We start from the raw sequence: 26,522 nt of genomic DNA on the forward strand, positions 1-26,522 counted from the left end.
GCCAGTCTGCGTAGCGACGGCCCGTCCCCTGCGCACGGACGCCGGGAAGAAGGGGGTGGGGCCACGTTTGCGTCCGCGCCATCAGGCCCGAGATAGCGGCGAGGTCCGCTTTCAGTGTATGGTTTTCCCTGCCAAACGGTTCTGCTTGGTGCCATCCATGGAGGGCGTGCGCTGGGCCTTTTCCTGCGGCACTTGGCTGCCGAGCCGAGCCGAATGGCTGCTGGCAGTGCGATCGATTCAGCCCGAGGAGAAGGAGCGCATTGGCCAGTTCGTCTTTGCCCGGGACGCTAAGGCAGCCATGGTACTACAGGTCTTTTTTGGTATTTAGAGCCTAGGAAGCAGATCTTGGGGGAGGCGGGCCGGGCTGTGGAGACCCGACACTCCCGCGCTGGCCGCGACCCTCTCGCTGTGGAGCCTGTGGCCGGCCCGGGCGACAGCAGCCGGCGCTGCGGAGTTGTGGGCGACGCACGGCCTGGTTTCCACGGCCTTTGTAACCGCCTTGGAGGCCGCGATGGCTGTAAACATTATCTCTTTCCCCTTGTTATTTCAAATGGAGACCCTCCTAAACCATGAAATAAGTGTAGGGAAGGCCGACAAAATTGGGTTTTTCTGTAATGAATGTTTTTATGTCTTTATCTTTAAATGTTATTTTTTTTTGTTTGTGTGCGTTCATAGCCTATGCTTATTCTGCCTGTTAAATATCCCATCATTCTCCAAGGACTCCCTGCACGTGGTAGGCCCTAGAAATTATTGACAGTATGATTTAGTTTGTAGCCCTGCGCTCCCCGGGATTGAAGCCAATGAAATTGAAGCCAGAGAGGATACCTTCCTCACTAGATGCCATGGGAAACAGTATTTTACGTAGATTTATTTATTTTAGCTATGTATTTTGAAGCAACAAATGGAAAACTGGATTTCAAAACAAGTAATCTGTACAATATGGTGCAATTTGAAACAACCGTGAATTACCATCATTTAAAAGACAGTCCTTTCTTAAAAATGTCCCATATTGAAACACTTTCTGTTTGAAATGTAGACTAGTTGATAATTTTTAAGGCACATTGGTGAAAATTTTTTACTCATTTGTAAGGAATTGTAAAATAAGCTACATTTAAAAGCCTGCAGTTTTTAAAAGTCAGTGTTAGAATTGAAGAAGAAAAAAACCTGAAAGATATTTTTAAAAATATATACTTTGTCATCTTATATTCTTGTTTTTTTGTGTGTGTGTTTTTAGTAATTATTTAAAAAATAATAATTGGAGGTGGGAGAGAGCAGAACAAGATAGGTCATGCCTTGCTAATTGTTGAAGCTGGGTGATCAATATATGGGATCTAGAAATACATATGCACAGATGTAGGTACAGTAGGGTTGCTCACTGCAGAGTTGTTTTTGACAGCAAGTCTAGAGCCAGCCTAAAATGTCCAATAAAGGGGAAATAATATTATGAAATATGCTACAGTTAAAACTGCATGGACCAGACGTGTGTGTACAGACATAAAATACTTCCCAATACTTATAAATTTAAAGCTTATATGTGGTAGAATACTGCATAAGTATAATCTCATGTTTGTGTTTATATGTAGAGTTAGCAAAAACATGTAAATGCACATATATTTAAATACAGAAAAGACTGACAGGATGCCAGCTGTTAACTTTGGTCACTAGCAAAGGAGAGGGAATTGCTAAGGCGGGCTTTAACTTTTTATCTACTTAAGCATTGCTTAAGTCTTAATTAACGTGTGTTTAATACTTAAGTATTTTGAAAAGTTTTAAAAATGAAAATTTTAGAAACCAAAAAAAAGTACTATTGCATACAGTGTGCTTGTATCTTTAGTAGACATCAGTACATACCAAATGTTTTATGTACTTAACAGGCTGGTCGTCTGATGATAAGGAAATTAGTTGCAGAGAAATTGAATATCCCTTGGAATCATATTCGTTTGCAAAGAACTGCAAAAGGAAAACCAGTTCTTGCAAAGGACTCATCGAATCCTTACCCGAATTTCAACTTTAACATCTCTCATCAAGGAGACTATGCAGTGCTTGCTGCTGAACCTGAGCTGCAAGTTGGAATTGATATAATGAAGACTAGTTTTCCAGGTAACGTTGCATTTTTCTAGTATGGCAGTTAAGTGTCTCGATGCCTCAGTTCTATTGCTATTGAGTAATCTCAGGCCAGGAGATGTATTAGAGATATTTCAGTTTAGGGAAAATGTGCTTAGTACACAAAGGTAATGGAGAGCATAAATCTGAAAAGGGTATATTTCCATGAATATTTACAGACTTACACATAAATAATAGATTATCCGTTACTGGGGATCCATAACTTTGCCTAGAGGTAAAGTGAAATATTAAGTGAAATTTTTTTTGAATTATACTTCAATTTATTTCACTTAAACATTAACCACAATTTTTCAGTTAATTGTTTGTTTTTTAAAAAAGAATCTGAATAGTAAAGTACATTGTAGTCCTTATGTAGAGATAACGTATACAGTTGACACATGAACAACACAAGTTTGAACTGCATGGGTCTACTCATGTGAATTTTTTTCAGTAGTTGGCCCTCTGTCCCCATAGATTCTGCATCCACAATCAAACGTGTATCAAGATTCAGTATTTGCAGGATATGAAACCTGAGGATGTGGAGGGCTGACTTCATATATGCAGGTTCCATAGGGCCGCATGCGCAGATTTTGGTATCTGAGGAGGGTCCTGGAACCAGTCCCCAGTGGATACCAACGGGCGACTCTTTGTTCTGCATCTAAATACATCTCTTTTTAGCCCATTTATGTAAGTAAAAATGAGGAGCAAGCATTATTAAAATATTTAAGTTGCTTATATATTGCCTTAGAAATTTGTTAGTGGTGGCTTTAAGGACCACTAACATTTGTGGTGAAGTTGAATGTACCCAGGCAATTTAATACATACTAAATACAGGTTCTCTTAACTGCTGTATATTTGTCATCATCACTAACATTTAATGAACACTTAACCACGTGTCATGGCATTTTACATAGTGCTTTAGACATATTCTGTGATTTAATTCTCTCAACTACCCTATGATGCATATACTGCTATTTTTAAAGAAAATAAGTAACAGGCTAAGAAGAAAGCTATTAATAAAAGAACCCACATCTTCCTAATTTCATAGTAAAACTATCTAATCTCCATACTGCCTGCACCATATGTGGTTTGAATATGTGGCTCTCTCAGTCTGTAAGGCTTGTATTAATTTTATCTCTCACTCCCATTTCTGCATAGAGAACTCCTATTTACTTGTTAGATTTCACCTTAACCTTACTTTAGGGAAGCTTTGTGAGCCTTCAATCTAAGCTAGGTTCTTTTGTTGTAGGTTCTCATAAAATATATTTTCCTTATTCCAGTAATGTATCTCAGTTGATTATTCATCAGGATGATTGATTATCTTTTCCTGATACTTAAAAGCTGTGTGAGAGCAAGAACCATGTTAGCCACATCAGAGTTTGATCACTATCACATCTCTTAGTACCTTGCCTAGCATGTAATAGTAAAATATTTGTCAAATGAATGAATAAACACTGTGCTGTTAGAGTATAGGCTTCAGTGTGGTTGTGAATCTCTTCTCCCTTTTGCTTTTATTGTCCTTACCTTGCATTTTCCTACTAGCTACTCTTTCTCTTACCTGCTAATAAACCTTTCCAGTACAACTCTATTCTCAGGTTTGTTCAGAACAAGGCCCTACTAGTGATTTTGGAAACCTTATAACAGATTGTTGATCTGATTCCCTGGATAAGATTCCAGGAATTTTGTTTACCTCCTGAAACTGTATGCTACATTTTGTATGATATGCACATGTGCATTTTTCTTGGGAAAGGATCTGGTATTCAACAGGGACATAGGTGGCTTACTCTAAAAAAATTGCTGCTATAGAGGATTCTTAGCATGGGAATTAGCCCATATATTCTTGTAGCTTTCTGCTGTCATTACAGGAACTTTTTCTAAAATCAGAAATGGAAAGGCCATTGTTTTTTAGAATGCAGTCAGCACAACTACCTGGTAATAATTGGCCCAGTGGGTTGGTATCTGCTTGGAAATGATACTTCTGAGAAACAGATTTTGTTACCAGTTAACTTGATGGGCAGTGTTGGCTATGGTCAATGCTAGATAAACAAGTAATTAATAACTGAAGCTTTTAATAAATGATGGTGTTCTCACTCATAGATGGGAATTGAACAATGAGAACACATGGACACAGGAAGGGGAACATCACACTCTGGGGACTGTTGTGGGTGGGGGAAGGGGGGAGGGATAGCATTAGGAGATACACCTAATGCTAAATGATGAGTTAATGGGTGCAGCACACCAGCATGGCACATGTATACATATGTAACTAACCTGCACATTGTGCACATGTACCCTAGAACTTAAAGTATAATAATAATAATAATAAAAAAGAAAAATAAATGATGGAAAGACAATTGAGCAAAAATTTAAGATTTAGTTTTCCTGTTAATTGTGTTATTAGACCTCCCCCCACCAGTTTTTTTTAGTTGATCTTACTTGACTAATCACAATGTCTAGGCCTTTTCCTTTTCTTTATTTTGTTGTGAAAAAGCTGTTGCTATGTCCAGTAACACAGAAAGGAAGAGAGATTTTCCAATTGTCACTAGTGTTGTTACCATGCTACTGATTCCTGAAGCATCAATGGACACAGCATGATTTCTTAATGAAGATGGGAAGTAGACACTGATTTGCTTCATTGGAGATTCTTTGAATTGCTCTACTTATTGTAGTAAGTGAGGAGATTGAGCAAGGGATTTTTCCTAAGAGTCTTGCTAAATGATGCTAGGCAAAACTTAGGAGAGCAGCAAGGAAAGTACTCTGTTTTGTACTAGGCATTGTTACTAGATTGCCAACTCTAAAGACAGAGTTGGCTTTTGGGGGTTATCATTAGTGCATTGAAAGAGTCAATTCCATTACTCTGTCTTGTCCTATAGGTAAGAATCCACTAGGAACTCAGAGAGTCTTTTTCTTTCATGGTGCATTAACCATTTCTGCTGAGTGCAGCTCATTTCCCTCCCTCTACCTGTTCTCCCAACTGTTGCTGTGGACGTGCAGGAGAGAACATACCTAGTATATAGCCTACCATATGCCAGGACGGTACATTCTTACTCTTAGGAAGAATGGTGTTTTCCTGGTCTTCATCTTAATTTATTACCCTCTTTTGGAAAATTTTGGTTGGTTTTCCCTTTGTTTTCTAATTTTTTCTACCATTAAAAGTGTTTGAAGTGATAAGCATAAAGGGTAACTTTTGAATTGTTTAGTTTTGTGACCATATTTACAAAGTAAGGCAAAATAAAATAGACAAAATACATAAAAATTATGATTGAAATTTGGGAAAGGACCAGAATTTTCCCCCTATGGTTTTACATGTTCGTCTTTACATTTTTAAAATAAACTTTGCTGGACTTTTTTTTTTAAATGCACTTGGGATTTAAAACCTGTAAGTAGTTTTAGAAACTCACACATCACTTTGTACTCTGAATTCCTTACTGGAAAACCAAGTCTCCACCCTCAAGGAGTTTTCCTCCTTCCCAGTTACAGGTCGGTCTTTTTCCTTTGTCAGTAGGATTTGATTGTGTAACTAGTATTTATTGAGCAATTCCTACAAGTGTGTGACACTATATTAGATGCCTAATAGGTATTATTTCATCTTTGTAAGACTAGTGCGTAAGTACTACTGTTATTTTATATAAAAGGTTAAGACATTTGTCCAAGTTGACTTAGCTAAAAAGTAAAACTTCATATATTTAACCACTGCTCTCTACAGTATATGGCCTCTCAGTATGAGATTTTATTGATTCCTATTAAAAGAATTTGCAGATACCAAAATATGAAAAATTCTGTGAAACTGGGTTACATACATTTAAAGTTGTTATGGAAGAACTAATGACTAGGAATATGAAAAATATAGTAAGGGTCTTGCCTTACCAGTTTCAAAAACTTGTGTTAGTCATTGTAAACTAAAAAGAGTATGGTACTAGCGAAAGAATAGACAACTGGAAGAGTTAATCTTAGAGCCCAGGATATATACATATTTCAATTCAGTGGATAAAAGATTATTTATTAAATGGTGCTGGTAGAATTGGTTAGTCATGTGGATGTAACACATACTATATACACCAATTTGGAGGAATTAGAAATTTAAAAATAAAAAAGTTTAAAATTTTAGGACAAAATATAGTTGACTATGATGTCGAGTTGCAGTAAATCTTTTTATGAATTCTTTTCAAACGAGACAGAGTTCAGAATTTATCAAAGAATGGATATTTAAATTTAAAAAAATTATATTCCAAAAATATAACCAAATACAAAAGATAAATAATAGAATAAGGAAAATTCTTATAACAAATTTGGTAAGGTGTCAATATCCATAATATATAAAGAGCTTCTATGAAGTGATTAGAAAATATTAATAGGCACGTTACAGAAGAACAAATTCAAGCAGTCAGTAAGCTATTACCTTAATGATTAGAGTAATGCAAATTAAAGTAACAGTGAGGTGCCCATCAGATTTGCAGAAAATTGGAAAAAAAACACTTAGAGCTTGTGAAAATGTCGGAAAAGAACAATCATATAGATGGAAACACTAGAAATTGCTACAGGCTTTTTGGAAAATAATGTTAAAATTGAAAATACACATAGTCTTTGATTTAGCGATCTTGTTTATAGTACTCTATCCAAAATATTTATGAATAACAACAAAACCTGAATGCTGCTAATAGAAATTGGTTAAATAAATTAATGGTGGATGCATTCTGCAGATAATTATTAGCTGTAATAAAAGAATTAGTTAGGTCTATATGAACCTGAAGGGACTTAGAATATATATATATTTAATATTATAATAGAGACAGGGTTTCTCCATGTTGCCTAGGCTAGTATTGAACTCCTGGGCTCAAGTGATCTGCCTGCCTCAGCCTCCCAAGTGCTAGGATTACAGGCGTGAGGTGTGAGCCACTGTGCCCAGCCAATATCACATCATAGAAAAATATATATAGCAGAATCTTTTTTTTTTTTGAGACAGAGTCTGGCTCTGTCGCCCAGGCTGGAGTACATTGGTGCTTGGCTCACTGCAAGCTCTGCCTCCTGGGTTCAAGCAATTCTTTTGCCTCAGCCTCCAGTGTAGCTGGGATTCCAGGCACCCGCCACCTGGTATTTTTAGTAGAGACGGAGTTTCACCACGTTGGCCAGGCTGGTCTCGAACTTCTGACCTCAGGTGAACTGCCCGCCTTGGCCTCCCAAAGTGCTGGGATTACAGGCGTGAGCCATCACACCTGGCCGGGTTTCCATATTTAAACAATATTCCCAGCTGATAGACATATTAATGTTTGGGAAATTCTGTATTGGATGTAATTTACAGAACTAACAAAAAGAAAAATTGTAGCCCATTTACCATTTTTTATGAGTGATATTATCAGAAAGTCATTGCCTCACACTATAACAAAATTAAAGTTTTATTAACACTTTTGGTTTGTTTGTTTTTTTTTGAGACAGTCTTGCTCTGTTGCCCAGGCTGGAGTGCAGTGGCGTGATCTTGGCTTACTGCAAGCTCCGCCTCCTGGGTTCACACCATTCTCCTGCCTCAGCCTCCAGAGTAGCTGGGACTACAGGCACTTGCCACGACGCCCGGCTAATTTTTTGTATTTTTAGTAGAGATGGGGTTTCACTGTGTTAGCCAGGGTGGTCTTGATCTCCTGACCTCGTGATCTACCCGCCTCGGCCTCCCAAAGTGCTGGGATTACAGGCGTGAGCCACTGCGCCTGGCCAGTTTTATTAACACTTACTAGAACACAATGTAATTGTATATTTGAGCAAACTTCTGAAAGATGGCTTTTGAAGCTTAAAATAATAAACCACTAAGTCAACAGATATGATTTCATATTAAATCATCTTTCACAAACCAGAGAATATATTGGTGGCAAATTTGACAGACAAAGGTTAATGTTGTTAAGATATGAAATGCCCCTCTAAATATCGATGGGAAAACCACTTAAGCCTTACTTGATGAATATAGGAAGGACTTTATAAAAACAGTTGACAAAAGAAGATACACATTTAACCATGACTTTGACAACAACCTCAGAGCTAATATTTATTAAGTACTTGATAGTTCCAGGCATTTTACATGTTTATTCTTAATCTGCCCAATTCTTTGTCCCAATTTTACAGTTTGAGAAACAGCCATAGAGATGTTAAGTAAATGTTAAATAAATAACCCACAGGTTGAGTATCCCTAGTGGGAAATCCACAGTGCTCCACTGAGTTTTTCCTTTGAGTATAATTTTGATGCTCAAAAAGCTTTGAGTTTTATAGCATTTTGGATTTCAGGTTTTCAGATTAGGGATCCTCAATCTCTAGCTAAGAAGTGATGGACCAGCATTTGAACATTTGACTGCAGGGACATAGAATTAAAACTCCGAAGGGTACGCGAATGTGTGTGCTTATGTATAATTTAAATTGTATCCATGTGTATATTAGTTTCTTCAGGCTGCTTAACAAAGTACCTCAAACATGGTGTCTTAAAGTGACCGAAAGCTCTTCTGTAAGTTCTGGAAGGCTGGAAGTTAAGGTGTCAGCAGGGCCATGGTCTCTCTGAAGGTTCTAAGAAAGAATCCTTCCTTGCTTCTTCCTAGTTTCTGCTCATTCCTAGCAGTCCTTGGCTTGCAGTTGCATCACTCCAATTTTTGCCTTCACCTTCAAATGACCTTTTCTGTCTCCTCTCTGTGTGTCTGTCTCTCCTTGTAAGGAAACCAGGCATTGGATTCAGGGCTCACTTTAATTAGGTATGACCTGATCTTAACTTGATTACATCTATAAAGACTCTATTTCCAAATAAGGTCACATTCTAAGGTTCTGGGTGGACATGAATTTCAGGAGACACCCTTCAACCCAGTAGAGTCCATTCTCTGGCCCCCTGCAAAATTTATATCCATCTAACATACAAAGTAAATTCACCCCATCCCAGCATTAGCAATTCTCAGCCCATTCCAGCATTAACTCTAAATCTCATGTAAGTGTTAATATCATCAACCCAAAAAGTGGCAGATCTCATCTCAATCATCTAAATCAGCTATGTGTGAAACTGGAGTATGATCCTTCTTGGGGCAAAATTCCTCTCATCTGTGGACTTGTGAAAGCAGAAAACAAGTCTTCTAAAAATCAGTGGTAGGAGAGGCATAGGATAGACATTCCCATTCCAAAAAGAAGTTCGAAGTAAAAAGGGGTCATTGTTCTCAAACATGTTCCAAACCCAGCAGAGTAAATTCATTAGGTTTCAAAGCCTGAAAATAAAAGGCTTCATGCTCTGTCCTCTTGGTCCTCTTCTTCATTCTCTGGAGTTCTTCCTGAAAGGATAACATTCGCAGCCCAGTAGTTCTAGCTCTATCAGCCTGTTTCTTGCCTCTGTGTGTTAATACCTATATGTGTTGGTAAACAATGTAAGAGCAACTGAAGTTTAGGACTGCCTAAATGGTGAGTTTCAAACCTAGGTTGACGTTATTTCAATCTAGTGCTTTTTCTGCTGTACTCCACAAATTGAGGGCTTAAATACATCCTTTGATAGTAACATGCAAGAAGCTTTGTGCATGTAGTTTGTGAAACCTATATTGGCAGCTCAGATATTTTTGTGTTATTCTAGGTTTTTGTCTGGATAAGTTCCTGGACAAATGAGCTGATAAGCATTACGGTGTACATACTAACTCATATCTTAGAAGACTGTCACTTCTCATAGAAGCAAAATTATATATAATTCTATTATATACAGTTTAGTACTTAGAAAGTGAAACTATTACAATTTCTAATATGATTTATTATCTAAGGCTAAATTTTGGTACTTTGAAGCAAGCACGTAGATGGGCATTGCTTAACTCCCTTCCACTTCCCTCAAAAATGACCAGCCCATTTTCCTAAAGGCTGAGGTAGTTATATGTATATATTTGTGTATACATATTGGTGACCTTGTTTTGGAGAGGGATTAATGTCGTAGGCCCTGAGGTTCTGGATTTTTTTCCGTAGGCCTGAAATAGTTGCTCAAGGCATTGGATCTAAATGATTTTGTTGTATGTTACTACTGTGTTTAAAATAAAACATTAGTTGCTGGGTGGTCTTGATTAGTTAATCATTCCAGAATACAATATCTAACACTGCTCTCCCTAATGATCAAGCTATAAGATGGAAGATCAGGTTTTTCTAAATTTGACTGATGATTCTCTGTGTATGTAATGGTATTATTAGAACTTGCCAACGTATGTGCAGTAATTGTGCTGTCTTCAAATAGTTTAAGGGACAAATTCACTGTTCTTCCTACCGATTTTTCTTTATTCCAGTTTCCTAGGTAAACTGCACTTAATACTTAACACAATATTTGCCCACTGTATATCCACCATAATGCCACAGTGTGGCGCTGCTGTGCTTTGGCCGAATATTTACGAAATCACCTTTTCCTATTGCTGTCAAATTTTTTATTTTGTGGACTAAATAAGATGCTCTAAAGTATATGAAAACGCACTCGTATCGGATATTTTTTGGCTGTACATAATGAGTTATGTGATTGCTTTCTAGTGATTGTGCCAGATTGATTGCCTTTTATGTTAATCAGTTTTTTAATAGCATGCTTATTTAAATTTTTTTCCTTGATTGCCCCATCTTATTTAGTTAAAAATCAGAAGGCTTCTTGGAGGTTATAAAAATAAAATTTGAAGAAAGCAGCAAGCAGAATGACACTATAGATGACAAAATGCGTATCTTTTTAAATGCAGATTTTTTGGACATTAATCTGTTAAAACTACAGTTTCACTCAAAATATATAATGCAGGCTTCCAAACCAAAAATAGTTTATTCCTCCCATTATTGTTACATATGCTGTTTGTGCCAAAATCCATTCAACAAGAAACAGTTTTTGATTTTTGTAGATATAGTGTTCCCAATGTTTAAAATTTCCAGATTTACTTTTGTTACTTCAGAAGCTTTCTGTCTTTACTTTCTTTGAAGTGTTCTTTAAGATGTTACTTATCAAGCCAGTATGTACTATTGATGCATTGAACAAAAAAGTTTTTATTGAGGGGCTTCTATTAATGTTAGTCTCAGGAAGGTGTTGAGGAGTAAACACCAGACAACAAAGGGATCCATGGCCCCAAAAGGGGTAAGAATTTCTTGCCATTGAACTCTTAAGATCACAATTTAATATTTCGGTGCCTAAAAATGAATGAGGATTCTTATTTTGATCCATAGTACCACATATCAGCAACAGGATCGGCAGAAATACTTCCTGATGAACTAAGAGGAGACTATTTTGACTCTTGAAGCGGGAGTACTGGGAGAATCATAACTATTTCATGACAGAACCGATTTTTAATATACTCTACCCTTGAGATGATTGTGGGAAAGGTATTTGGTTACTGCAGGAGAAACTGTAAACTCTCTGTGAAGATAAGGACCATGTCTGTTTTGCTCATCATGCGGTTCGTGGTACCTAGCACTTGTATGCTTTTAGTGAGTGATCATAATGGAATTCTAATTGTTGAATTCTCATAGAGAGAATTAGTGATTAAATGCCAGTGAAGTATTAAGGGGATGTTCAACATCTTCAACATCTTTTTTCTCCACATATTTATTTACATAAGAAATGCCCATAGAGTGTGTGGTATCAGCTATCATAAGAATTGTGTTAATCATTTGAGAATGTCAAATTTTGGAGTTGGTTATTTTAGAAGTGGGAATTGGAGTAAGCCCATATTAACAGAATCCACAAAGGGATTACCTTCAAAAGGTTTTCTGGAAAATAATGTAATAATGAACTAAGGATACAGGGCAGAAGAATATTTAGGAAATAATTTACCATATAATAGTTAACATTCATGTATACACTTAGTAAATGTTTGTGGTTCACTTACCTTGGAACAGGCTCTCTGATAGGCCCATTAGGCTGTAAGTATAAAAGGCAAGAACAGTGATCAATTTACTTTTAATATTAGTTGAATATGTATTTGTGTAAATATTTATACATATTATGCATATTTATATAAAATGAATGATGGTAGAAAGTTTGTGCTTGGTGGTAAAGACACACAAACACATAATTTTAATGTTTTGGAAAATTCAGTACCAGAGGCCTACCATGAATTTTAACATGTATCTTACCCCTTGGTTCTGGGAATCAGATCCTTTGAGTTGTATCTTTTGTCATTTATTTTTAGAATGCTATGTAATATTTTGTTATCTATGAAATAGTGGCACTAAAGATATATTTCAAGTTTTTAAAAATGAGCTTATTTTGCAACTGCAACCACGAAAGAGTAATGAAAATCTTTTTATTTGAATAAGTCATATTAGAAAACAAGTTGGAAAACATTTTGAAGAAGGTATTAATTTTTTAGCCGTGGCAATAATGTAGAATAAAAGAACAGTTTTCAGCTTTCTGCTAATTTTCCAAAAATTGTAATAAAAGAATTATTCCCTTTTTTTCTCTGTTACATAACAAAATAAAACTTTAGAATAATATGGCTCTACTTTAGGAGTATTTTAATTGGGCTTCTGATAAGTATCCTTTTATATAAGAAATTTCCTGTTATTTAAAATTTATAACAGCTTTGGCTGCTAAATTTTATCAAAACTTTTTGGGACATATATTGATACAACCATATGGTTTTCCTGCTTACTTAATAATTTACAGAATATCACCAATTCCTGTTAAACTACTCTTATATTTCTGGGCTAACCACTGCTTGTCATAGTGTGTTTACTCTTTTAATTTTCAACTTGCTTTGACTTGCCGAGATTTTGTTTAGGATTATTTTAAATGTATTCAAAAGTATGGTTGCCCTTTAGATCTTTGGGGGGTGCTGTCTTGAACAGTTTTAGTAATAGAGCAACTTTTTATTTTTTAATAGAACTGCTATTTAATTTTTTATTTCTTAATTGGCAGGTCGTGGTTCAATTCCAGAATTCTTTCATATTATGAAAAGAAAGTTTACCAACAAAGAATGGGAAACAATCAGAAGCTTTAAGGATGAGTGGACTCAGCTGGATATGTTTTATAGGAATTGGGTATAATTCTTTCTAATTTTGAAAGCAAAAGTCTATAATGATTCCATTATCTTCACTTAAAATCAGAGTCCTTGGTTACCCAGTAGTGTCCAAACAGTGCTTGAAGTAAATGGGTGATTGCTTGAGAATTTTATGGTTTTTATGCATATGGTATTACATTATAATGACATTTCATTTTAAGAAAATTTAACCTATATGTAATGCTCAGTTAGAAAGTACTTACTTAAAGCTAAAACAAATCATTACCATTGATAAATAATATTTTCTGTCATAAAGGAACTAATACACATGAGGTCCTATATAACAAACACTGATAATATATACTACATGCCAGAAGACATTACTTCAAGCTCTAAGTTAGTTAATTTAATGTACATAACATCCCTATGAGGAAGGTATTGTTATCATCATCGCAGGTTACATACGAGGGGATACAGGCACGGAGAGCTTAAATGATTTGCCCTAAGATCATATGGATGGTTTGTTTTCATGCTGTAAGGGTTTTTTTTTAAAAAGGTTATAGCTATATAGCCATAATGTAGTATAGCATTGAAACTCCCTATCTTTTGGACCTGTAGATTCTATGAAAAATTTTTGTCCACCAAATTCTAAGAGAAAATGTCTTTCTGTATCTTAGGCACTTAAGGAAAGCTTCATAAAAGCCATTGGTGTTGGACTAGGATTTGAATTGCAGCGGCTTGAATTTGATCTATCTCCATTAAACTTGGATATAGGCCAAGTTTATAAAGAAACACGTTTATTCCTGGATGGAGAGGAAGAAAAAGAATGGGCATTTGAGGTAAGAAATTTGTTAGAATTGTTAAAACTAAGAATTTCTATTTTTTATGCATGTATGTGTGATTAATTTGGGTAAGCTAGTCACTGAATTTGGACGCAACTGAATCCAGTCCTGCTGCTCTGAAAGTGAAATCAGGGCTACTATGAGAGCATGTAACATTTATACTAATACTTGAAAGAAGTTGAAAGATGAGTCATTGTGAGTTCAGTACGGGAAAGGAAAAGAGGCTCTGACAAGGAGCTTTGCATGTATGAACAGCCAAACGCAGCCACTTTGGCTGGGCCATAATGAGGGTATTTAAGAGAGATTCCAGATCAGGCTGGTAGATCCTACAAGGTATTGATCAAGTTAAATATTTTGGTTTCTTACTGTATTTTGTTTCTGTCACTGGCAGTTCCTGGTTGCTAGTGAGAGAAGCCAACACACACAGCCAAAAAACCCCCCAAAACAGTATTATAGGTTACTAGAGTGATTCAGTAACTGTCCCCAGTATTAGCTAGAATTAGGGGATGAAATATTTAGAGCTCTTTTTGTCTCCTAGTTTTGCCTTTCTCTACATTTTGGCTTCAGTTTTCTCCCACCCATGTTTCTCATTCTGTACACCAGCTTTCTCAGCCTCTCTGGTCTGCATGACAGAAAACATGGCTCTTGCATGTAACATACTGTTGCATGTAACAGTTTATAAACAATTTACAGTTTAAAAACCTAAACAAACTGGTAAACTCACTTTCTGTTCCAAGCCCAAAAATCCTAGAGAAGGGATGCCCTGGCCTAGCTTGGGCTAGTTGTTTATCTCCAGACCAGTCATTATACTGTGATTGGTCCTGCTTGTGTCCAGCAAACGGGCTATAGAGCAGTTCTCTGACTTACAAGATCATCTGTTGAGATACTGAATACTAGAAAATAAATGAGATGTTAAGTTTGAGATACCAAACATCTAAGTGAAGATGTCAGATAGGTGAATGGAATGGAGGGCTGGGCTAGAGGAAAAAAATTATAATCATAATGGTTATAAGTATAACCATTATGTCAATGGTAGTTGAAACCATGGATTTGAAGTTGAAACTGTGAGATTACCTAAGGAACAGCTATATATTGAATCTATGAAGAGAGAAGTGGAAATTGAAACCACAAGAAGTTAGAAGTAAGGCCTAGAATAGAGCCCTGAGAATATATATGGTCCCCAGTTTATGATGGTTTAACTTTTTTTGACTTTATGACAGTATGAAAGTGATAATGCATTCAGTAGAATTCATATTTGCAGAACCCACGCAACCATTCCTTTTTTCATTTTCAATACAATATTCAATAAATTACATGAGCTATTCAGCATTTTATTATAAATGAGGCTTTGTGTTAGATGATTTCGCCCACTGTAGGCTGATATAAGTATTCTGAGCACATTTAAGGTAGGCTATGCTATGCTATGATGTTTGGTAGGTTAGGTGTATTAAGTGCATTTTCCATGTAACCATATTTTCTTACAGTGAGTTTATTGGGATATAACATCATCGTGAGTCGTGGAGCATCTATACTAATATTCAAAGGTGAATTTGTGGAGGGGACTGATAAAGAATGACCAAAATGGTATAAGAGAGTAGTGTTGGTATCCAAGGACAGAAAGCATTTTGAAGAAGAGAGCTGGGTCAATAACTGCTAAGGACTAGATGTGGTGGTTCATGCTTGTTATCCCAACACTTTGGGAGGCCAAGACACTGCCTCTACAAAAAATTTAAAAAATGAAAGTTTCAAAACAGTATATCCATTAGTTAACATTCTTTAGTGTCCAACTATCAATTGTTAGTGTACATACACCTCTCATTATACATTAAGCATGATTCTTATTTATTGAAATATTCAATACATATAAGAACTATATCTTATATGCTAAATTTCTGAAAAATTATTTTAGATATTTTTAAATTTGTACATTCCAGTTACTTTTTTCTTGTTTGTTTAAAGAGAAAACAGAACAGGGCTACATAGCAGACTTACTTTGCGATAACTTTGACATAGTAAATCTTCTGATACTTAGTCTTATATTTTTCCTCTTTAAACATATCTTAAATTTATCCTTACTGAATTTCACTTTATGCTGACTTGGGTACCTGAAGGTATGAAGATAGGAAGAAGAAGATAAAAAATGAAAAAGCTCCCTAAGTACTATTTCTAATTGTAGTTTCTTCTGACGTTTTATGGAAGAATGCTTTAGTAAAGTGGTTTTTCAGTGAAAAGTTTGTTCAGCTTTTAAGTGTTTACAATTTTTTCTGGTAACTGCTTCAATATATATTACATTTTAAAGTCCCCTTCCCCTTTGTCTCATATGTAGAGGAAAGTAGAAAATTGCATATTGGTTATGTTTTACCTATAAATTTCCACCATGATTTTTCATACGTGATAGTATGTAGTTTACTAAATGCTTACATACCAATGTTGCAACTTGATTTTTTTTTTTTAACCTTGTACTTTATTATACATACTAACATCACCAGTGAAGGACAGATAGCTGTCAAGTACCTCTAGATAGGGCACATCACCTGTGTAGTATTCTGGTTGAGAATGCATAACCTAATCCACTCATTAAATATCAAACAAACCCCAAATGAGCAATATTTTATTAATAAAAAGCAGATTTAGGGAATTTGTACTTTAAAACGTTAATGTCATAAAAAACAAAAGAAAGGCTAACAAGACATGACAACTGAATGCAATACTTGTCCCTACTTGCCCATTACTGGGCTCCTGTTCTGGAGGAGGGATATGCCACAAAGGATGCTATTGGATTAATTCACAGAATTTGGAATACAGCTAATAAAGTATTGTTTCAATGTTAAACTTACTGACGTTATTAACTGCTGTGGTTATGTAAGAGAATGTGCCTACTAGGAAATACATGTTGAAGTATTTAAGAGTAAAGGGCCAGCACATATGTAACTTCTAAAGTAGTTTAGCGGAGGTGGGGAAATATATATATGCACGCGTGTGAGTGTACGTATATGTATATATATATAGAGAGAGAGAGAATGAGATTTAGAAAATGTAAACAAAGTTACATCTAGGTTTACATATTTTATAATCTATATTTATTTACCTTTTATCTTTCAGGAAAGCAAAATAGATGAGCACCATTTTGTTGCAGTTGCTCTTAGGAAACCCGATGGATCTAGACATCAGGATGTAAGATTTTAGGATTTCTCTTTTTTCTAAATAGCATGAATCAATGTTAAGTTTGCTCTTTATTGATGGAAATAGTCATTTGCCTTATATCAGTTTAGAGAGATTTTTTTAAGATTATAGATATAGTAGTACTCTTTATTAGCAAATATTAAGATCACTAGGGATTTTGTAGAAACATTTTTAAAAAGCAGCTGGGCATGGTGGCTCACACCTGTAATCCCAGCACCTTGGGAGGCTGAGGCAGGCGGATCACCTGAGGTCAGGAGTTCCAGACCAGCCTGACCAACATGGAGAAACCCCATCTCTACTAAAAATACAAAATTAGCCAGGTGTGGTGGCGGGCGCCTGTAATCCCAGCTACTCAGGAGGTCTGAGACAGGAGAATCGCTTGAACCTGGGAGGTGGAGGTTGCAGTGCACCAAGATCGCACCATTGCACTCCAGCCTGGGAAACAAGCGAAACTCCGTCTCAAAAAAAAGAAATGTTACCCGCTTCTTCACATTCGTATACGCTTAAGTATTACAACAAAAAAAAATATGGTAGTACTATCATGCTACTCATATTTCCAATAGACATTCAAGATTATCTTAGTCATCTTAACAGTAGTTTATTTCTTGGTGAATTGGGGTTGTGTTGAATGTAAGAGTACCACGTTGAAGGTTGATGAGTAATGGAATTACCTTGCAAATTGAATCCACTCCTCCTTTTAAAGTAATATCCTGAATTATTCCCAAAGTTACAGTGTCAAACATGTAAGAGACCTTGTGTCATATTGTGGCATAACATCAGTTTCAATTATTCAGCCACAATGTTTTTATACTTTCTTATCCTATTACCTGGTAAGCAAGTGGGGGAAGAACTTAGGGTCAAAGACTCTTAGATTTCATATAATTGTGATTCTGCAGAAGTATTTATTTAAGGAAAACGTATGTTTTAATGAAAACTACATGCATTCCATTATTTTTAGTAAATCAACATGAAAGAATGTAGCATGATCAATATATATGCATCGTTACTTCCACAAAAGTAGCTCAGGCAACACACCAAACCTTTGATAGATTAATCAAAGGATTACGAGTTCTCCATAGATTATCTTCCTTAAAAAGGGATGGCATGTTAAAATTGACACCTGTTATCTGAAGATGTTCTGACCCAGGTTACTCGTCCTTCTGTTTTTAAATCTCAGCTTCACACTCCCTGCAAAAATACCTTTTGTTTTCATAGAGCTTTATAATTGTTGAAACATTTGCATATTCAGTACTTTTCATTTCCCTGGACAGAGCCTGTTTAGGCAACAGTGGCATGTTGGGAAGACTAGAGTACAATTCACAAAATTGGGTTCTAGGCCCACATCTACCATTTAACCTATGTTTTGAGCTTGGACAAATTGTTTGAATTGTTTGCTCTTCCTGAGCCTCAGATTCCCCATCCATAAAATTAAGATAACCGTATCACAACATAGCTATGAGACCAGTCATATAAGTACTGGACCTTGACTTGTTAAAGCGCTATACAAAACCCAAGTACTATTTATACTAGATGTGTAGAATATTAAAGAGGGTCTGCACTGGGTTCAATTGTGAACAAGGGCTCTATCTCAGAGAGTAAGATACAGTTTAAATTTAATATTGAATAAATAATTTCCTAAAGAAGTATACATCTCTGTATAGTTATGGCAGTTTTATCAGACCCACCTTTTAGAGTAGTATTTCACAAAAGTTCACTTTCTCACTCACCTCTATCAAAATAACCTGACTGCTCGTTAAAATTACAGATTTTGATATCCCTTCTAACTGATATGTAGTAAATCACACTTTTTGGATGTGGGGCCCAGTAAATCTACATGTAAAATACCACAGGTTTTTGTTATATAAAAAAGTTCAAGAATCAGGTTTTCTATTTCATTTTTTTTTGATTTGTTGTATTGGCAACACTAATATAAGAAATACAAACAATGTTCTAGGAATCCTATGTTGTCATTTAATACTACTGAAATGTAAGTTGGTCTTACTTATTTTCATGATTATGAAATTGATCATAAGATTAACATGCAATATAACAATAAGGTAATCTGCTTTTGTCTTTTAGGTTCCATCTCAGGATGATTCCAAACCAACCCAGAGGCAATTTACTATTCTCAACTTTAATGATTTAATGTCATCTGCCGTTCCCATGACACCTGAAGATCCTTCATTTTGGGACTGTTTTTGCTTCACAGAAGAAATTCCAATACGAAATGGTACAAAGTCATGATGATTCCCTGAGTAACAAAGGGAAATGAAAACTGTTTGTGATCTTCCGTATTCACTGAAAAATAAATGCTTGTTTAGTATCAAATTTTATTTCACGAAAGTTTTTTTAAAGAACAGAAACTTTTCCAATTAAAAAAAAAAAGCAGACTTCTGGTTCAAGATAGCTCACTGGAATACATGTTTACCTCTTTCTTTCCTAAATTGCATTGAATTGATAGGAAGGATGGCGGAATCTTAAAGTGATACATGCTAACTGTAGAAAAAAATAGAAAATGCACATAAGCAAAAGGAAACATTTAAATGCTATCTTTCAAAGATAACTACTCTTAAAACCTTGAGTATCTTTTCAGACCTTTTTCTTGGCAAATGAATCCATATTGACATATTTGATTTTTTTAAAAACATGGAAACGTACTGTTTTGTAAATTCTTTTTAACTGCACATCTACTGTTCATAAATATACCTCTGTAACATAACTTTTTGTGGTTCTAATGTACTCTGTTGTATAGCTAATACAAGTTAGGATGCTTTTGGCCAGAGGTAACAGTGTCCAAATATAATTGGCCTAAGTAACCTAGGAAATTGTTTGACATAACACAGGGTTCAGGGGTGTCATTAAAGACACACTTTTTTTGCCTTGACCTCAGTTGGTTTGTTTTGCCTTAGGCTATTCCACCTCTCGATCACAAGAGCTGCTGCTATAACTTCCAGTTTTACATCTTTGTAAAATTGTATCTCAAAGGCAGAAAAGGCCATTTCGTCTCTCATTTGTTTTATCCATGAGGAAGATTTTTAACAAAAGCCTCCAGAAGATTTCCCCTCAGTTTCCATTGACTTAGATCAGGTTACAGAGAAAGGCAATGTCTGACATTTTTGGTCTCTGTTAGAAGTAGACTCTGTTGAAAAGAAAGAAGCTAAGCTAGGTGTGAAGAATGGAATTGGAAGCCCACTGCCTTCCCATAAGAAAGGTTTACCATAATTTACTCACTTTTTTCTGTGTTAGACATTTTGATTATCTGCAGTTTATTACTACAAGCAGTGGCAGAGTGAATGTCCTTGTACATTTTGAGTTACATGCTTAATTATGTCCTTGAGAAAGTTTCTAAAAGTGGAATGATTGGTTTGACTGGTTCATAGGGCTTTAATTATACAATTTACCCCTCTAATTAGTACTATATGTATGTGACTTCCCTCCCCCTGCCAGAATACTCCTTGGTCAATTGTAGGTATTCTTTTTGGTTTAATTTTTGCCAATGTAATTAAAAAATGGTATGTCATTTTTAAAATTTGTATTTCTTTCATTACAAATAAGATTGTTATGTCAGTATTGTTATTGGCTTTTCGTATTCCTCTTAACGTGAACCGTCTGTTCATTGTTTTTACCTGTTTTCGTTTTAGCAAGTAGTACTTAATTTAAAGTGTGAACTTAATATATAAGATGCCAGGACCATCATATTGATGACAAAAATCTATTATGTGGTTGTAGTGCATGTCTTGGAGTTAAACTCTTAAGTATCAAGAAGTAAAATAATTTCATTGTTTCTGTTACTAACATTAAAAGTGTGCAAATTGTATAAAATTAGGTACTTCGATTAGTAAAAGAAAAAAATTTGAATGTTTTTTTTTTTTATTTTATTAAGCATGCCCAGTTATGCCAAGCATAGTAAATAAAGGTCAAGTAGCATTTATAATAGAGGAAGTATTGTTATCCCTAGCATGAGTGTAATGGTGATATGAAAAACTTTGTCTTGTCATTATAATAATAAAAAAATGAACATTTATTATGGAATTTCTATGAGCCTGACACTGTGTTGGATTTGTGTTTTTTAGTTTTTAGTTTTTCTATTACTTTTAATCAAAGTTTCATGTGTACACAGCTTTAAAAAATTGGATAGATCTGTAAGATTTTTTTCCTAAGGAAAAAGGCCATTACTCTGACTTCTTCCATTTCCTGTCTCCAGGGCAAGCCCTTTCAACTCTTTTAGATGTTATTTTTTTTGTTATTTATTACCATGTCTCCAAATGACATGCTTATATTGCTTTTACTTGATTTTTTAATTTTAGGCATTGTTTCTTTGATTTTCAAAATAAAGCTTCCCTCTTCTGCTTCCCAGCATTACACATTCCCTTTTTATCCCCTTTTCTCCTCCCAACATAACAATTCAATGTTTACATTGTTGACTGTGATTACACTAAGGATATGTGTACATTATTGAGATTATGTAACTGCTGTATACAGCTGAGTGATGTATTATCCTTACCATATACTAATTTCTTATTTCCTTTAGTTAATTGACTGCATAGATTTCTACCATATGTATGAATATCTTCTCTATATGTTCAAACGTAACAATGATTCCATCAGTTTCTTTCATCTTTTAAAAAATCACTCCTAGAGCAATCTGCTTTGTCCAAGTTGGACTTTGTGCCTTCTATGGCTGGTGTACAGCTGTAATCCTGGGATCTCCTTTACCATGATCCTGGGGATTGTCTCTCCTGTGTTGGATTCCCTGTTCCCCATTTGCTATCTCTCACATCTTAGATTTACTCCATTCATGTGAAATAGCTTTTTGAGAACAAAGTGGGCATAGGAGTTACATTTTTTGAGACTTCTAAGAGGAAGGGACAGTCCTATGCAGAGTGGTATAGGGATCTAGTTGTTTCTTAAACCCATTATCCTATCCCCCTCCACATGAAGCTCTTTGTTAACGCTGTATTCATATCCACTTTTTCCAAGTATTTGATGGCTGCATTTTGCTGAGTTTTGTGCTGGGCTGGCACATGCTGCTTCATACTCATGTCTGCTGGGTCCAGTTATAACATACTGACCAATGTATGGCTTTATTGGTCTCTGTTAATGTGTTTCCTGCATAGGAACTCTCATAAATTTATTTTTAAAATGAATCTGTATATTTGTGTCTCTTCCATTTCAGACTCAGAAATTGAAAAGATTTGGATAAATTTTCAGTTAAATTTTTCACTATCAAAATTAGAATTGTTACCTATTCAGAATCTGAAACTCAAAAACCAGTTAGGTTTGAGTAACTCAACAGCTCCTCACTAGTGGAACTATTACCATCTGAACTTGAGGACCAAATAGATTTATAAATACACATATGCAAATATATCTTTGGTCAAAAATATTCCTGAAAACAACTCCAAGTATCAGTACGTTTAAAGAGGATATGAAGAGAGCTAATGAATGATGGATTTCATTTTTATGGGGGAAATAAATATACCTTCATAGTATTTGTGAATTTGGGATTGGCAAAGGTCTTTGGATGTATTCCCAGTTTATCAGTTAATGTCAGGTAACTGCTGTATATGTCTTATGGTATTTATATTAGAAGCTATTTTGCATCTTAAGCACTCACATATCAGGCTATTTAATTCTTATAACTCTATGGAGTTGTATTGATGGGGAAAGTAAGTTACTGAGTTCTTGAACAACTTACTAAAGGTTATATATTCATTGAATACTGAAGCTTGTTATTTGATCAGAGTTAGGCTCAGATCTTTAGATCCAAAACCTCAGTCAACCACTATACTTAGTGGTGTGCTGGTAAATATTTAACAACCAGCAATCCTGGGGCAGGGAAGAAGAGACCTTTATATGTAGCTTTTGCTTATTCCATGAAATAATGACGTGTAACCAACACCTAGGTTTAGCACATGTTGGCATTTTGTCATATTCGCTTCAGATCTTTTTTCCTCTCATTTCAGGAATAAAACAAATGCAGCTAAAGACTTCCTACCCCCTAGTTACCACCCCTTCATCTTTCCCTTTCCAGGGATAATCTCCAATATTTGTAATTTTATGCTGTTATGCGTTTACTATTTGTATGTATAGTGTTTTGTGATTAAATCTTACATTTCCCTATTAGGATTGAAACATTAGGATGGAATCTCTTTGTGTGCTACTTAGAAGTAACAACAGTGTCAGAATAATTGAGCTCACTTAAGCCCACACTTCTCAAGGAGTATACATACTTAGGAGTAGGCACTGGTGTGTGGTAGTAACTCATCAAAAGATAGCAATTGGTCATCTAGAGGCATTCGTTTTATCTGAAATTTTGGAAAGAATCTTTTCATAATAAAAGTATTACAGACATTGTAAGTAGCATGCAAATTTGCCTGTATTTTAAGTAAAAAGGTGTGGGGCTTCAGAGGAATTTTCCTGCCCACGAGTACATAGTTGCTGTTCTTTTAGGGTCATTTTTGAATGAAAACGAATTTCATTTTGAATGTTTTTCATTTTGAATGAAAAAACATTGGAAAGGAGCCAGCATTAGAAGGGGAAAAAAGTAACATTTGTTGAGTACTTAAGCAGTAGAGCCCAAATCTTGGTGTGGTATACCCCTCTGCAGGTCACCTTTAGGGGACTGACCGTGTTGCAGGTGTAAGACCACTTTTTTACTATCCTAGAAGCCTTCAGCAATAGGCAAGTGAAATCCCATAAATTTGATGCTCCTGATAGTTCCATGAGTGTTTTCGGTTGTTACTTAGCACCCTTTAAAGCTCTTCATGCTTTTTCCAGTGTTGCATGAGCAAGAAGCCTGCTAAACTAGTTGTTCTTTTCCCCTCTAAATCCACTATCTTTCACCCTTCACTACCGCAGGAAGCTGACTTCTATGTACCTTGTTGGCCAGGCTGTCTTTTCCTTGATCGGGTTTTGCAAATAGAGGTGGGGGAGGGTATTAGCAGAGGACTAGGTAGAAAGGGAAATAGGATGATTATCCACTTGCCTTCCTGCCCTGCAGTGGCTTGGAAATAGCTGTGTTCCTCAGCATCACAGCTTCTGACATAGCCTTCTCCATATATACATCTCATGGGTTCAGGAACAACTTTTCCCTGCCTTTTCATTTTAGAAGTAGAAAGATCTTGCTCTTGCTTAGCCTAAGCTGCTGCACCATCTCCATAGATTTTTGTTATTCTTGCCTACACCCTCTTTGATCATTACTTTTGGTTGTGCCATCTGTTTCCTGCTACAACCCTGACTAATACAGTAATTTGTACCATGAGTAGTCCTGGGAAAGTGGAATTCTGGAATTGGATTGCTCACATATTTGATGTATATACAAATAACTTCCTTGTCAGGGAAAATGGATGCTTATCATTGGTGGCAAGTGGTGATGTCACAATTGCTTACATCATTACTAGTAATGTCATGGAGTCATGGAATACAAGTGGAGTACAGTGTTGGAAGATCAAGGGGCTGTGGCACATAGTCACTATGGTCATGGTAGAGATTACAGAGATCGTTAGGAGGACTGGCTCTTTTGAATGTCTAGAGCATATACACAGGGGAAAGGACAAATTGAAAGCAAAGGGAAAAATTGGGAAAAAAACAAAGCATCACAAAATCTATGGCAACTCTAGGGGAATATCTTGTATTTTGTAGATATAGCTAAGACTCAAACCTAGAGCTTTTATTGTAAGGGCTGCTGAGTTGTAATACCAATTACTGGCCAGTACTGGGTCTCACATGCTAAGGTAAGGGCATTGGTATGGAAGAAGTGGGGCCTTCAGAAATGAGATGGGAACATTTGGATCGCCACAGGAAAGGCTGAGAAGCTTAAGCCTTTTACATTTCCCTGAAACTTTCCTACTGGCAGAGGCAGCCCCATTTGTCTGAGGGGGAAGTCTTACCTCCTGATACAGTTTCAGATGTCATGTTGAATTCTAATCCCCAATGTTGGAAGTGGGGCCTGGTGGGAGGTGACTGAATCATGGGGGCAGATTTCTAATGAATGGTTTATCACCATCATCTTGGTGCTGTCTTTGTGATAGTGAGTTCTCGTGAGACCTGGTTGTTGTAAAGCAGGTGGCACCTCCCCCTCACTCTCTCACTTGCTTCTGCTTTCTGCCTACTCCCCCTTCACTTTCCTCCATGAGTGTAAGCTTCCTGAGGCCTCCCTAGAAGCTAGGCAGATGCCAGCATCATGCTCCGTGTAAAGCCTGCAGAACCATAAGCCAATTAAACTTTTTTCTTTATAAATTGCGCAGTCTCAAGTGTTTCTTTATAACAACACAAGAATAGCCCAGTACGCATCTCCACTTGCCCTGCAAAGGAAAAACAGTGTATCAATGAATTCACCTGAGATGGTTCTCTCATAAGCAGGTATCAGTTAACCTCAGGATTTACATCCACTATCCATCTTTACTTTTTGGAAAATAACAAATACCCTAAACAGAGAAGTATAAGATCAGGTCCGGAGGAAGGGCCTATTCAGAAGAGTTGCAGAATATTGCCACTTTGCATTGTAGGGATTTGGAGGACAGAATAGGAGTGGATTCTAAGGGTATTTGACCAAAAGGGGTTACATCAGATAAGGCAGGCATACTCACAGAAAATGTGAGTTAATGTGTTGGCCTGAGAATCTGGGAATGGTGATAAGTCTGTCACATTGGTTAACTAAAACCTAAACTCAGTGGTGGCCTACAGTCAACTGTGTTGAAATGTTAGAACTTTCCTGACTGAAAGAGTCCAGAGTCTTAGGAAGACAGGAATGCGGATCTGTTCTTTGCTAATCTGCTCATTCATCCTCTGAGGGATGGGCTTAGAAGACCATCACTTCACCAAGGATGTTTTTTTAAATCCATTAGTAAAGGAGTACCTTGAAAAGCCTTGTGGTATCATCTCTGTAGATCAAAGATGCTGCAGTGAATTTAGGTTACTTGTTTTCAATGGGAATAATGCGATTCCAGAATTGTTGAGATCATGAGATGGTACTTGAGAGTAATAATCAAAGGGTCTTGTGCCACAGGGGTTTCTGGTGATGGTTCATTGATCACAGGGTCTCTAGGAGTAGATTAAATGGGCAGCCTGCAAGGATCTGTTTGACACATTAACAGAAAATTTCTAGGTCTGGTGGACAGACACTTGACTGAAATCACTGTGAGGATGATCCACTGCTGCTTTAATTTTTTAAAGAACTTAGCCATTTTATAGACTTAGGATCTCTTAATGAAGGGGGTAGCTAGATCCTTTTGACAAAGAATCCTGCAATGCAGTCACAAGTATACAAGAGAAATCTTCTCCCAATCTTTTCTAGGGACACCTGTGTCCATTTACCATGGTGATTTTTCACCGGGGAAAGAGAAATACGAAGAACTTCTGGGGCCTGTTAGATACTGGTTCTGAATTGATAATAGTGAGCCCAAACTGCGTCTGTGTTGCCTTGTCAAAGTGGAAGCTATAGACATCA

The 26,522-nt window shown here is 36.2% G+C and overlaps 1 protein-coding gene across 1 annotated transcript, besides 2 other annotated features; it reads left to right on the top strand.

The window, feature by feature from the left end:
* AASDHPPT (aminoadipate-semialdehyde dehydrogenase-phosphopantetheinyl transferase) lies at positions 70-21,103 on the top strand. Its single transcript, NM_015423.3, has 6 exons — positions 70-301; positions 1,875-2,100; positions 12,965-13,086; positions 13,724-13,885; positions 16,991-17,062; positions 19,151-21,103. The coding sequence occupies exons 1-6, from the start codon at positions 119-121 to the stop codon at positions 19,313-19,315; spliced, it is 930 nt and encodes a 309-aa protein (NP_056238.2). The 5' UTR covers positions 70-118; the 3' UTR covers positions 19,316-21,103.
* Positions 98-337: an enhancer, noted in NCBI's record as "active region_5467". NCBI's record gives its function as "activates an Ori minimal core promoter by ATAC-STARR-seq in GM12878 lymphoblastoid cells {active_cell/tissue: GM12878}" and the evidence as "EXISTENCE:reporter gene assay evidence [ECO:0000049][PMID:35858748]".
* Positions 14,144-14,403: an enhancer, noted in NCBI's record as "active region_5468". NCBI's record gives its function as "activates an Ori minimal core promoter by ATAC-STARR-seq in GM12878 lymphoblastoid cells {active_cell/tissue: GM12878}" and the evidence as "EXISTENCE:reporter gene assay evidence [ECO:0000049][PMID:35858748]".
* Positions 21,104-26,522: the final 5,419 nt, after the last annotated feature.

Source organism: Homo sapiens, chromosome 11, assembly GCF_000001405.40.
Source record: "Homo sapiens chromosome 11, GRCh38.p14 Primary Assembly".
NCBI lineage: Eukaryota > Metazoa > Chordata > Mammalia > Primates > Hominidae > Homo > Homo sapiens.

What these genes read in the sequence shown, in the direction of transcription:
- AASDHPPT (NM_015423.3), top strand. Translation starts at nt 119, where the DNA reads ATGGTTTTCCCTGCCAAACGGTTCTGCTTGGTGCCATCCATGGAGGGC. An exon ending in GGGACGCTAAGGCAGCCATG is followed by an intron (nt 302 to 1,874) that starts GTACTACAGGTC and finishes TGTACTTAACAG; the next exon opens with GCTGGTCGTCTGATGATAAG. An exon ending in AAAAAGAATGGGCATTTGAG is followed by an intron (nt 13,886 to 16,990) that starts GTAAGAAATTTG and finishes TTTATCTTTCAG; the next exon opens with GAAAGCAAAATAGATGAGCA.